This window comes from Homo sapiens, chromosome 16, assembly GCF_000001405.40.
Source record: "Homo sapiens chromosome 16, GRCh38.p14 Primary Assembly".
Lineage (NCBI taxonomy): Eukaryota > Metazoa > Chordata > Mammalia > Primates > Hominidae > Homo > Homo sapiens.
The window spans coordinates 68,708,606-68,721,278 of NC_000016.10; the positions used below are offsets into that span (position 1 = coordinate 68,708,606).

Here is a 12,673-nt window from a genome sequence, read left to right on the forward strand (position 1 = left end):
TGTCTTTCTTTCTTTTCTTTTCTTTCTTTCTTTTTCTTTTTTTTTTTCTTTTTTTTGAGACCGAGTCTCGCTCTGTCGCCCAGGCTGGAGTACAGCGGCATGATCTCAGCTCACTGAAACCTCCACCTCCCGGGTTCAGGCGATTCTCCTGCCTCAGCCTCCTGAGTAGCTGGGATTACAGGCACCTGCCACCACACCTGGCTAATTTTTGTATTTTAGTAGAGACGGGGTTTTACCATGTTGGTTAGGCTGATCTCAATCTCCTGACCTCAGGTGATCCACCCACCTCGGCCTCCCAAAGTGCTGGGATTACAGGTGTGAGCTACCATGCTGGCAGATTTTTGTATTTTTTAATTAGGTACTGGGTTTCACTATGTTGACCAGACTGGTCTCAAACTCCTGAACTCAGGTGATCTGCCCACCTCAGCCTCCCAAAGTGCTGGGAGTACAGGTGTGAGCCACTGCACCCAGCCTATTTGTTGTTTTTCTGGGACAAGGTCTCACTCCATCTACTAGGCTGAGTGCAGTGGTATAATCACAGTTCACTGCAGCCTTGACCTCCTGGATTCAAGCAATCCTCCCACCTCAGCCTGCTGAATAGCTGGGACTACAGGTGTGTACCACCACCCCCAGCTGATTTTTTGTTTTTGGTAAGGAAGGGGTCTCACTGTGTTGCCCAGGCTGGTCTCGATCTGGCTTCAAGCCATCCTCCCTCCTGGGCCTCCCAAAGTGTTGGGATTACAGGCACGAGCCCCTGCACCCGGCGCAGAAGCACTCTTGTCAATTAGAGTGCTGGCAAGCAAGAGAGGCAAGCTCAAAAGGTGACCGGAGAAGGGTTCATGGAGGTGCAGTCTACAGTGGGGTGAGCAGGGTTGCAGGGTCTCCCTCCGTCACCCAGGCTGGAGTACAGTGGCACAATCTCGGCTTACTGCAACCTCTGCCTCCCAGGTTCAAGCGATTCTACTACCTAAGCCTCCCAAGGTGCTGGGATTGTAGGCGCCCTCCACCACGCCCGGCTAATTTTTGTATTTTTAGTGGAGACAAGGTTTCGCCATATTGGCTAGGCTGGTTTCAAGCGACCCACTCACCTCGGCCTTCCAAAGTGCTGGGATTACAGGCGTGAGCCACCGCGCCTGGCCTCCTTTTTCTGTCTCCTTCATTTCTAAAGACGGCACCATCATCAGCCCAGCTGCCCAAACCAGAAACCTAAACACCTTGTCCTCAACTCCTTCCTTTTATTGACTGCCCATGCTGATCATCCATGGAGTCCTCCCAGATATCCTGGAATTCAACCACTTCTGTCCATTCTCCACCACCACCTTTGTCCCAGCCACCAGCACCCCAACTGGGATGGCCACAATGGCCTCTGCGCTGGTTAATTCCCCGTTTCCCCCAGATCCACTCTCTTCCCTTCTTCCCGCTGCTCTGCAACCAGGAGGCAGCCCTAGCTGCCCTGTGTTCTGGATTAGGTTGGTTACATTGGGGGAAGGAACCCACAGGAGATGGGGCGGGAAGGAGGGGAAGTGGCAGTATCCCTCCGCCTGCTCCCTCCCTGCCGGGCTGGGTTTGGCACTGGCTGCGCTCTGCACCCTCTATGGCCACAGCTCCTGTCATGTGGACCCTCTTCCATGGCTCCAACACTCCCTGGGGTCTGAAAGGCAGTTTCTGCACTTGCCCTGTTAGGACTAAGGGCTGCCCTGGCTTCCCATTTGCTAGTCTGAGGATGCCTCGCCATCCCAGCTGGTCACCCTAACCGAGTGGTTCTCAACCAGGGGTAGTTATGCCATCTCAGGGGATATTTGGCAATGTCTGGAGTCATTTGTGGTTGTTACCACTGGAGTGGGGGTGCTACTGGCATCTAATGAGTAGAGGCCAGAGATGTTGCTAAACCCCCTACAATGCACAGGACAGCCCCCACAGCACATGATCCTCCCTCTGAAAAGTCAATAGAGCTTAGATTGAAAAACTATGGCTGGGCGCGGTGGCTCACGCCTGTAATCCCAGCACTTTGGAAGGCCGAGGCAGGCGGATCGCTTGAGACCAGCCTGGCCAACATGGCAAAACCCCGTCTCTACTAAAAATACAAAAATTAGCCGAGTGTGGTGGCGGGCGCCTGTAATTCCAGCTACTCAGGAGGCCGGGGCAGGAGTAATCGTTTGAACCCAGGAGGCAGAGGTTGCAGTGAGCCGAGATTGAGTGACTGCACTCCAGCCTGGGCGACAGAGCGAGATTCTGTCTCAGAAGAAAAAAGGAGAGAAAGAGAAAAAGGGAGAGAGAGAGAGAAAGAAGAAAAGAAGAAAGGAAGAAAGGAGAGAGGGAAGGAGAGAAGGGAGGGGAGGGGAGGAGAGGGGAGGGGAGGGGAAGGAGGGGGGAGGGGGGAGGGGACGGGAGGAAAGGGGAGGGGAGGGGAGGGGAGGGGAGGAGAGAAGGCGAGGTGGCTCATGCCTGTAATCCCAGCACTTTGGGAGGCCAAGGTGGACGGATCCACTGAGGTCGGGAGTTTGAGACCAGCCTGACCAACATGGAGAAACCCTGTCCCTACTAAAAATACAAAACTAGCCGGGCATGGTGACGCATGCCTGTAATCCCAGCTACTCGGGAGGCTGAGGCAGGAGAATCGCTTGAACCCAGAAGGCGGAGGTTGCCGTGAGCTGGGTTGCGGCATTGCACTCCAGCCTGGGCAACAAAAGTGAAACTCCAGCAGAGAGAGAGAGAGGGAGAAAGAGAAAAAAAGAAAGAAAAAGAAAGAAAAGGAAAGAAGAAAGAAAGAGAAAGAGCAGGTGTGAGGAGGGCAGTGCAGAGTTCTGGGCATTTTGAACACTTGGAGGCGGCTGGGGGACCTGTGAGTGAGGAAGTTCAGGTGCAGCAGGGCTACCCAAGGTTACACAGGTGAGGAACTGCACACAGGGCTGGCTGCACGCAGGGCTGGCTGCGCCCATGCCAGGGACGGTATGGTGCCGGTTTCCCACAGCCTCTGTTCTGCTTCCCACTGGAGAGGGGACGGGGAAGTGGCCAGCAGCTGGAGAGGAAGGGAAAGGGGAAGTGGTGGTCCCGTGGGAACTTACATCCTTTATTTCATCTTCTTTGCCTCCCCACTGGGGTGGTTTCCCAGGAAGAGAAGTAAAAGCTGAGGGGTGAGGCCTGAGTAGGGGGCACGAGGGCGAGGGCATGGGCACTGACTCACAGAGAGGAGCAGAGGAACCCTGCTTGTGTCACCTTTCAGTATCGGACAGTGGAGTGGGAGGATAAGAGGAACAAGGCAGCCCTGTCTACTCTGGGTGCAGCCCAGGGATGGAGGAGCAGCCAGTGCTCCCAGGACAGCCCTAAGATGGAAGTTTTGAGAGTGCACCCTCCACCCTGCATGATCCTAGGAAGCTAGGAGTCCAGAGATGTTCCTTGTGTTTTGTTTGTTTCTTGGGTTTTTTTGTTTTCTTTTTTTTTTTTTTTTTTGAGACAGACTCTCGCGATGTCACCCAGGCTGACGTGCAGTGGCACAATCCCAGCTCACTGCAGCCTCAACCCCCCAGGCTCGAGCAATCCTCCCATTCGGCCTCCCGAGTAGCTGGCACTACAGGTGCATGTGACTATGCCTGGCTAATTTTTGTACTTTTTATAGAGATGGGGTTTCTCCATGTTATCCAGGCTGGTTTCCAACTCCTGGGCTCAAGCAATCCTCCCACCTTGACCTCCTAAATCCTGGGATTACAGGCGTGAGCCATCACACCCGGCCCAGAGAGGTTTCAACAAGAGCAGCTGGAGCTGGGAGTAAACAGTGGCCAAGCAGAATTTCAAAAGAAAATAATAATAAAGCTACGATAATAGCAACAATAATAATAATGGTCATAATAATTATAATAACCTTGTCTTAAAAGCATTCTAAGAGCGGGTAGTCTATGGGTACATTTTCTCTTATCTGGCTCCAATCAGGTGGCCAGAGTGATCTGATCTTTCTAAGATGAAAATCCAATACCATAACATTGTGCAGATGGTGAAGATGTTATAATCCCCATTTGACAGATATGGGAGAACGGTGGGAGAACTTGGCTGAAATTTGAACTCAGGACCTCTCAATTCCCAGGTTCCTTTTTTTTTTTGAGATGGCGACTCCCTCTGTCACCCAGGCTGGAGTGCAGTGGCTCGATCTTGGCTCACTGCAACCTCCGCCTCCCGGGTTCAAGCAATTCTCCTGCCTCAGCCTCCCAAGTAGCTGGGATTACAGGCCTGTGCCACCATGCCCAGCTAATTTTTGTATTTTTAGTAGAGTTGGGGTTTCACCATGTTGGCCAGGCTGGTCTCGAACTCCTGACCTCAGGTGATCCACCCGCCTCAGCCTCCCAAAGTGCTGGGATTAAAGGCATGAGCTACCGTGCCTGGTCAATTCCAAGGTTCTTAAGCAGCCCCCTCGCAGCCAGTGCAGCATCCTCCCTTTCTGATCTGTCTCCCCTCCTCCTGTGATCTCCCCGCCCTTCTGTCCCTCCTCTCCCCACTCTCTGTGTCTCTATGGAAATGAAGTCAAGATTGTTTTTGGTTGACTACTCTTTATGACCCTTGAAAAACATTTTAAATGTTGATCTATCTCATACATTGTTTCCGTCAAGGAAAAACAATAAAATTAAGTCGCTTCACTTTTATATGTCTCCCCCTGTCTCTTTTGCCCCACTAATAATTCAGTTGACCCTCAATAAAGGGGGAAAAAGTTCCCTAATCCTAATCAACAAGCATATCGGGTTGCTCTTCTTCCTGCTGGCTGAGGCGGGAGCAAGTTTATTTTTCCAGGGATTTTAGACATCCCGACCCTGGAGCTGCCAGGGAATAGTGTCAAGGTGTTGATTTCAAGTGTTTCAGAGTCTGCTTACAAACCCTCCACCCCTCCTCTCGGTGCCCACCTCCCCTGACCTAGGCCAAACCCCCAGATTTCTTGTTGAGATGATTGCAGGAGCCTCCCAGCTGTGCTCCCTGCTTCCCAAGGACTCCTCCTCCAGCTATGCCAGAGTGACCTTTCCGGAACGCAGATCCCATCACATCCCTTCTCTGCTTAAACACTTCCGTTCTGTTCCCATGACCTACTGGACAAGGGCCAAGCAGCATGTCATTGGACGCCCTTCAAATCCCAGCCTAGGTTGACCTTATAGCCCTGGCTCCTGCCCACTGTCCCGCTCCCCAGGTACAGACCACACAGCCACACTGGGCAATGCACCCTTCCTGGAATATAGGCCTTCCTGCTGCTTTACCTTTGCTTGTGCTGTTTCCCCTACCTGGTGTGCCTTTTCTTCTCACCCCATCCCTGCCCAAATCTGATCAATTTTTATTCTATTTATTATTATTATTATTATTATTATTATTTTGGAGACAGAGTTTCGCTCTGTCACCCAGGCTGGAGTGCGGTGGCTCGATCTCAGCTCACTGCAACCTCCGCCCCCTGGGTTCAAGCAATCCTCCTGCCTCAGCCTCCCAAGTAGCTGGGATTACAGGTACACGCTACCATGCCCAGCTAATTTTTATATTTTTAGTAGAGACGGGGTTTCATTATGTTGGCCAGGCTGGTCTCGAACTCCTGACGTCAGGTGATCTGCCCACCCTGGCCTCCCAAAGTGGTGGGATTATAGGCGTGAGCCACCGCACCCAGCCCCCCAGTTAGATCTTGAGCTCACTGAGCACCTTTGCCTAATTATGTTCAGCCTCTACCCTCACCCCAGCACCAAGCACAGGACCTGAGACCCAGGCAGGTGCTGAGAAATCGGAATTGAAATCCAGGACTGAAAACCTTCTGTGAATTCCATCACCACATTCCCAGCAAAGGGAGTTAATGGCTGGTCTCTAGTCTCTCAACGACTTTGCCTCTGCCTTAGCCTACAAGCAGCTTAGTTCCTGCCAAAATGTCATTTTTTTCCCCAGGAAGCCTTCTGGATTTAGTATTCCTCCCCTAGAGTTTTCTTAGCATCTGTATGAATACACCCAGCACACAGAATTGTAATTGTCTCTTTACCTGTCCATTTCCCCAACCAGTCTGAGGGACTGTGATCTCGCCCACCGAAGGTCCCTGGTGATAGGTAATAGCTGTAGAGCACTTTCAGCTACCAAATGTATTCCGAGCACTTTATGTGTACTACCTCATTTAAGTATCAAGACAAGGCCGGGTTCAGTGGTTTGTCTGTAATCCCAGCGCTTTGGGAAGCGGAGGCAGGAGGATTGCTTGAAGCCAGGACTAGCCTGGGTCAACATAGCAAGACTTCATCATTACAAAAATTTAAAAATTAGCCAGGCATGGTGGCCCGTGTCTGTAGTCCCAGCCACTTGGGAGGCTGAGGCAGGATCACTTGATCCCAGGAGTTTGAGGCTGGCAGTGAGCTATGATTGGGCCACTGCACTCTAGCCTGGGCGATAGAACAAGACCCTGTCTCAAAAAATAAAAAGTATCAGGACAACCTCATAAGAGAGGTACTATTAGCTCCATTTTACGGAGGGGCAAACCAAAGTCAGAGAAGTTCTAAACTTGCCCAATGCCACACACCCAGGAAGTAGCAGAAAGGGAATTTGAGGCCGGGCGCCATGACTCACGCCTGTAATCCCAACTCTTTGGAAGGCTGAGGTGAGCAGATCACTCGAAGCCAGGAGTTCGAGACCAGCCGTGCCAACATAGCAAAACCCCATCTCTACTAAAAATACAAAAAATTAGCCAGGCATAGTGGTGCAGCCCTGTAGTCCCAGCTACTCGGGAGGCTGAGGCAGGAGAATTACTTGAACCTGGGAGACGGAGGTTGCAGTGAGCCAAGATGGTGTCACTGCACTCCAGCCTGGGCGACAGAGCACGACTCTCAAAAAAAAAAGAAAGGATTTGAATCCAGCTCTTGCCCACTCCACAGTAGTATTAATTGCATAACTGAGTGAGAGGAACTGGGGCGATGTTCAAGTAGCCCGGGCACACCCTGGAGTCCTGCTCATCTTCTCCCAGAGACATAGCCCCACTCCAGCCTGCAGGGAGTTGCCCAATAGCAAGGCCAAGGTCTGTACTCATAAAGCGTTCTTGGTGCACAGCATTTTAATAAAGACATGTTGTTCTTTGCCCTGAGAAGCCGCCCCACTTCCTGCCACCCCACAGGGAGGTCCTGGGAATGGTTAACATTGCTTTGCTGATGAATAGCCTCTGGAGTAGCGTAAGAAACAAAAGACCTCACAGTACCAGGCCTGCTGCCAGATCCCTGGACCACCCCTCTCCTTGCTGGTGGGCACAACATATGGTTCAAAAACCTGAAACAAGCACATGACCTTTGACCCAGTAACTCCACTTGGAGAAGTTCATCTTAAAGACCTGCCCATACAATTTCTCACAGGTGTACAGATTAAGGATTTCCTCGCAACATTGCTTGTAAGACTAAGCATTGGCCAGGCACTGTGGCTCATGCCTGTAATCCCAACACTTTGGGAGGCTGAGGCGGGTGGATCACCTGAAATCAGGAATTCGAGACCTGCTTGACCAACATGGTGAAACCCCATCTCTACTAAAAATACAAAATTGGCTGGGTGTGGTGGTGCATGTCTGTAATCCCAGCTACTTGGGAGGCTGAGGCAGGAGAATCACTTGAACCCGGGAGGCGGAGGTTGCAGTGAGAGAAAAAAAAAAAAAAGACTAAGCACTGGAAAAAACCCAGGTTCTTCAAAAAGGGAATTGATTCAATAAATTGTAGGCATTCAAATCGTGGAAAATCATACTGACATTAAAGTGCTATTGAGGCAGCCAGGCACAGTGGCTCACTCCTGTAATCCCAGTACTTTGGGAAGCCAAAGTGGGAAGATTGCTTGAGCCCAGGAGCTCGAGACCAGGCTGGGCAACATATCGAGACCCTCATCTCTACAAAAGATTAAAAATCAGCCATGTGTGGTGGTTCTTGCCTGTAGTCCCAGATACTCCAGAGGCTGAGGTGGGAAATTTACTTGAGCCCAGGAGTTTGAGGTTACAATGAGCTATGACCATGCCACTGCACTCCAGCCTGGGTGACAGAATGAGACTCCGGCTCAAAAAAAAAAAAAAAAAAAGAAAAGAAAAAAACTGATAACAGTAGTTGCCTCTGGGGAGGGAAGGAGGGTAGCACGGGATGGTACAGTAAGACTTACTGTTTTGGTTTCTTTGTTTTGTTGGAGACAGGATCTCACTCTGTCTGTCAGGCTGGAGTGCCTTGGCGTGACCATAGCTCACTGCAGCCTCAACCTCCCGGGCTCAAGTGATCCTCCTGCCTCAGCCTCCCAAGTAACTGGGACTACAGGCACAAGCCACCATGCCCAGATTTTTTTCTTTTTTTTTTTTTTTTAAGTAGAGACAGGGTCTCACTATGTTGTCCAGGCTACTCTCAAATTCCTGAGCTCAAGTGATCCTCCCACTTTGGCCTCCCAAAGTGCTGGGATTATAGGCATAAGCCAACAGGCCTGGCCAATAAAATACAATTATATGTTTTTGTCTGAAGAGACAAAGGTTGGATATAGCTCAAAATGTCAATTGTGATTATCTCTAGAGTGACAGATGATTTGTATTTTTCTTATTTTTGCTTATCTGCATTTAAAATTTTTTTCTATTGCAGATCTTTATTACTTGTATAATTTTTCAAAGGAAAATATACAGTGCTCAATATTCATGATTAGATAAATTAAAACGACAATAAGATACCACTACCTACCTATTAGAATGGCTAAAATTGAAAAGACTGGCAACATACCAAAGGCTAACAAGGATGTGGAGCAACTAGAAGTCTCATGCATTGCTGACGGCATTATAAAATGGTATGGCCACAGCTGTGGCCTAGATGTGTTTGTCCCCAACCAAACTCATGTTGAAATTTAGTTGTCAGTGTAACAGTGTTAGGAAGCAGTGCCTTAAAGTTGTGATTAGGTCAGGCCGAGCGCGGTGGCTCACGCTTGTAATTCCAGCGCTTTGGGAGGCCGAGGCGGGCAGATCACTTGAGGTCAGGAGTTCGAGACCAGCCTGGCCAACATGGTGAAACCCCGTCTCTACTAAAAGTACAAAAATTAGCCGGGCGTGGTGGCAGGCACCTGTAATCCCAGCTACTCGGGAGGCTGAGGCAGGAGAATCGCTTGAACCTGGGAGTTAGACGTTGCAGTGAGTTGAGATGGCGCCATTGCACTCCAGCCTGGGGGATAAGAGCGAGACATCCTCTAAAGAAAAAAAAAAAAAAGAAAGATGTGATTAGGTCATTAAGATAGATTTATATCTTTCTCAGAGACTGGGTTATTGTGCCTGCTTCCACCTCCACTTTTCCCCATGAGTTAAAGCAGCACCAGGCCTTCACTATATGAGCTGCCCAGTCTTGGACTTCCCAGACTCCAGAATCATGAGCTAAATAAACTTTTTCTTTTTCCTTTTCTTTTCTTTTTTTCTTTTTGAGACAGAGTCTCATTCTGTTGCCCAGGCTGGAGTTGCCCAGGCTGGAGTTGCCCAGACTGGAGTGCAGTGGCACAATCATGGCTCACTGCAATCTCTGCCCCCAGGTTCAAGTGATCCTCCTACCTCAGCCTCCTGGGTAGCTAGGACTACAGGCACGTGCCACTCTGGCTAGTTTTTGTATTTTTTCTAGAGATAGATTTTGCCATGTTGCCCAGGCTGATCTCAAACTTCTGAGCTCAAGTGATCCTCCCACCTCAGCCTCCCAAAGTGCTGGGATTACAGGTGTGAGCCACCGAACTGGCTAAACTTTTTTTGTGTGTTAAATTACCCAGTGTCAGGAATTCTGTTATAGCAACGTAAAACAGACTAAGACAGCCACTTTGAAAAACAGTTTGGCTGGCTGGGTGTGGTGGCTCATGCCTATAATCCCAGCACTTTGGGAGGCCGAGGCGGGTGGATCATCTGAGGTCAGGAGTTCAAAACCAGCCTGGCCAAGATGTCAAAAACCCATCTCTACTAAAAATACAAAAAAATTAGCCAGGTGTGGTGGCGCATGCCTGTAACCCCAGCTACTCGGGAGGCTGAGACAACAAAATCGCTTGAACCCGGGAGGTGGAGGTTGCAGTGAGCCGAGATTGCTCCACTGCACTCCATCCTGGGCAACAGAATGAGACTCTGTCTCAAAAAAATAAAAATAAAAAAGGAAAACAGTTTGGCAATCTCTTAGAAAGCATAAACATATGCTAACCATATGATTTAGTAACTCTGCTCCTAGGTATTTACCCAAGAAGAATGAAAACATATGTCCACACAAAGACGCATACATGTTCCTAGAAGCTTTATTTATAATAGCCCCAAAGAGGAAATAGCCCAAGTGCTCATTAACTGGTAAATGGATACAACAATTAATTGTGGTGTAGCTATACAATAATGGAAGACTATTAAGAAAAAAAACGGGGCCGGGCGCGGTGGCTCCCTCACGCCTGTAATCCCAGCACTTTGGGAGGCCAAGGCAGGTGGATCACCTGAGGTCAGCAGTTCAAGACCAGCCTAGCCAACATGGTGAAACCCCGTCTCTACTAAAAATACAAAATTAGCTGGGCGTGGTGGTGCACGCCTGTAATCCCAGCTACTTGGGAGGCTGAGACAGGGAGAATTGCTTGAACCCAGGAGGTGGAGGTTGCAGTGAGTGGAGATTGTGCCATTGCACTCCAGCCTGGGCAAAAAAGAGTGAGACTCCGTCTCAAAAAAAAAGAAAAAAAAAAAAGATAAAAAACGAACTATGAACTACAGACATACACAACAATATGCTCAAAAGCATTTTGCTAAGTGAAAGAAACATATACAACAGGCCACATACTGTATGATTCCATTTATATGACAATCTAGAAAAAGCAAAACTCTGGGGACAGAAAAGGGCCCAGTGGTTGTCGGGGACCAGGAATGAGGGGTGTGGTCATCTACAAGGGCACAGGGGGATTTTTTGGCATGATGGAACTGTTCTTTTTTTTTTTTTTTTTTTTTTTGAGAGGGAGTCTCGCTCTGTCACCCAGGCTGGAGTGCAGTGGCGCCATCTTGGCTCACTGCAACCTCTGCCTCCCGGGTTCAAGCAAAATTCTCCTGCCTCAGCCTCCCAAGTAGCTGGGACCTCAGGCACACACCAGCTAATTTTTGTATTTTTATTAGAGACGGGGTTTCACCATATTGGCCAGGCTGATCTCAAACTCCTGACCTCGTGATCCGCCCATCTTGGCCTCCCAAAGTGCTGGGATTGCAGGCGTGAGCCACCACACCCAGAGATGGAACTGTACTACATCTTGATTATAGTGGTGGATATACAACTGCTTGTGTCTGTCAAAACTCACAGAACTTGGCCAGATGCAGTGGCTCATGCATGTAATCCCAACACTTTGGGAGGCTGAGGAGGGAGGATCCCTTGAGCCTAGGAGTTCAAGACCAGCCTGGGCAACATAGTGAAACCTCTTCTCTACAAAAAATGAACAAAATTAGCCAGGCATGGTGGCATGCCCACCTGTGGTCCCAGCTACTTGGGAGGCTGAGGTGGGAGGATCTCTTGAGCCCAGGAGGTCGAGGCTGCAGTAAGCCATGATCACACCACTGCATACCAGCTTGGGTGCCAGAGTGAAACCCTGTCTCAAGAAAAAACTCCAAACCAAACCAAAACAAAAAACCTCACAGAACTGAATCCCAAAAAGTGTGAATTTTACCATATGCAAACTAATTTTTTTTAACATGAGGGGAGGCTAAAAAAAAAAAAGAGAAAGAAAGAGAGCGTGAGATCTGTGAAATTCTGGGTAGCAAGGGAATTCCCCATGCATACCCTGAATCAGATCTTTGCAGAACCTCTTAAAATCTAAAGTTTGTCAAGCCCAGCCTGACAGCTGTGTCTGGGACTTGCTGGTGACCTTGGGCAAGTACCTTTGCCTCCCAGAAACATAGTTTCTTAGCCCAGAAAGGGAAGAGAGAGCTCTAAACATCTCTAACAAGGCACAGACATCTATTGAGCACTGAGTCACTGCCAGGCTACCCATACATGTGTTTTTTCACATCAGAAGGGTAGGGCAAGACAATAGTGTTTTAAATGTTCTTTATTAAGTCTTTTTTTTTTTTTTTGAGATGGAGTCTCGCTCTGTTGCCCAGGCCGGAATGCAGTGGCACGATCTCAGTTCACTGCAACATCTGCCTCCCAGGCTCAAGCGATTCTCCTGCCTCAGCCTCCCAAGCCCGAGTAGCTGGGATTACAGGAGCCTGCCACCACGCCGACTAATTTTTGTATTATTAGTAGAGATGGGTTTTACCATGTTAGCCAGGCTGGTCTCGAACTCTTGACCTCAAGTGATCCACCCTCCTCGGCCTCCCAAAGTGCTGGGATTACAGGCATGAGCCACCATGTCAGGCCTTTATTGAGCATTTAGATGTATTAAGCACTTTGCAGGTATTAGTTCATTTCATCCTTATACCACTCCTAGATGGTAGGAACTAGCACTACCTCTATTTTACTAATTGACAAGAACCTAGGTGCGCAGAGGTTTCATAAATTGTCAAGGTCAACATAGCCCAGTATCCCCAGTATTTGATCCAGCCCTCTCATTTCAGGGCCCATGCTCCTAATCATCATACTAAATCATGTGACATTCCTGGAGACAAGCTGTGTGACATCCTCTCAGCATCTCAGTGTTCCTGGACCTTACCCTTTATGCAGTTTAGTCTTTTTTTTTTTTTTTTTTTTGAGATGGAGTCTCGCTGTTGTCGGCCTGG

The 12,673-nt window shown here is 49.1% G+C and overlaps 1 protein-coding gene across 2 annotated transcripts in view, besides 10 other annotated features; it reads left to right on the forward strand.

Moving 5' to 3' along the window:
* Nucleotides 1–12,673, forward strand: part of CDH3 (cadherin 3) — an 88,462-nt gene that overhangs the window by 63,296 nt on the left and 12,493 nt on the right. The gene's annotated exons all lie outside the window — the stretch shown is intronic.
* Nucleotides 2,263–2,764: an enhancer, noted in NCBI's record as "H3K4me1 hESC enhancer chr16:68744771-68745272 (GRCh37/hg19 assembly coordinates)". NCBI's record gives its function as "activates a minimal SCP1, AML or CMV promoter by ChIP-STARR-seq in naive H9 embryonic stem cells {active_cell/tissue: H9 hESC(naive)}" and the evidence as "EXISTENCE:reporter gene assay evidence [ECO:0000049][PMID:30033119]".
* Nucleotides 2,765–3,264: an enhancer, noted in NCBI's record as "H3K4me1 hESC enhancer chr16:68745273-68745772 (GRCh37/hg19 assembly coordinates)". NCBI's record gives its function as "activates a minimal SCP1, AML or CMV promoter by ChIP-STARR-seq in primed H9 embryonic stem cells {active_cell/tissue: H9 hESC(primed)}" and the evidence as "EXISTENCE:reporter gene assay evidence [ECO:0000049][PMID:30033119]".
* Nucleotides 2,855–3,024: a silencer, noted in NCBI's record as "silent region_7647". NCBI's record gives its function as "represses an Ori minimal core promoter by ATAC-STARR-seq in GM12878 lymphoblastoid cells {active_cell/tissue: GM12878}" and the evidence as "EXISTENCE:reporter gene assay evidence [ECO:0000049][PMID:35858748]".
* Nucleotides 3,095–3,144: a silencer, noted in NCBI's record as "silent region_7648". NCBI's record gives its function as "represses an Ori minimal core promoter by ATAC-STARR-seq in GM12878 lymphoblastoid cells {active_cell/tissue: GM12878}" and the evidence as "EXISTENCE:reporter gene assay evidence [ECO:0000049][PMID:35858748]".
* Nucleotides 3,175–3,224: a silencer, noted in NCBI's record as "silent region_7649". NCBI's record gives its function as "represses an Ori minimal core promoter by ATAC-STARR-seq in GM12878 lymphoblastoid cells {active_cell/tissue: GM12878}" and the evidence as "EXISTENCE:reporter gene assay evidence [ECO:0000049][PMID:35858748]".
* Nucleotides 5,643–5,787: an enhancer, noted in NCBI's record as "145 bp 16:68748223 sequence used in MPRA reporter constructs". NCBI's record gives its function as "activates a minimal TATA-containing promoter with rs9936682 allelic activity by MPRAs in C283T melanocytes {active_cell/tissue: C283T}" and the evidence as "EXISTENCE:reporter gene assay evidence [ECO:0000049][PMID:36423637]".
* Nucleotide 5,715: a transcriptional cis regulatory region, noted in NCBI's record as "rs9936682 or 16:68748223 MPRA-significant variant associated with a GWAS melanoma risk locus at 16q22.1". NCBI's record gives its function as "allelic transcriptional activity by MPRAs in C283T melanocytes {active_cell/tissue: C283T}" and the evidence as "EXISTENCE:reporter gene assay evidence [ECO:0000049][PMID:36423637]".
* Nucleotides 6,476–6,620: an enhancer, noted in NCBI's record as "145 bp 16:68749055 sequence used in MPRA reporter constructs". NCBI's record gives its function as "activates a minimal TATA-containing promoter with rs34732502 allelic activity by MPRAs in C283T melanocytes {active_cell/tissue: C283T}" and the evidence as "EXISTENCE:reporter gene assay evidence [ECO:0000049][PMID:36423637]".
* Nucleotides 6,548–6,549: a transcriptional cis regulatory region, noted in NCBI's record as "rs34732502 or 16:68749055 MPRA-significant variant associated with a GWAS melanoma risk locus at 16q22.1". NCBI's record gives its function as "allelic transcriptional activity by MPRAs in C283T melanocytes {active_cell/tissue: C283T}" and the evidence as "EXISTENCE:reporter gene assay evidence [ECO:0000049][PMID:36423637]".
* Nucleotides 11,620–11,749: an enhancer, noted in NCBI's record as "active region_11024". NCBI's record gives its function as "activates an Ori minimal core promoter by ATAC-STARR-seq in GM12878 lymphoblastoid cells {active_cell/tissue: GM12878}" and the evidence as "EXISTENCE:reporter gene assay evidence [ECO:0000049][PMID:35858748]".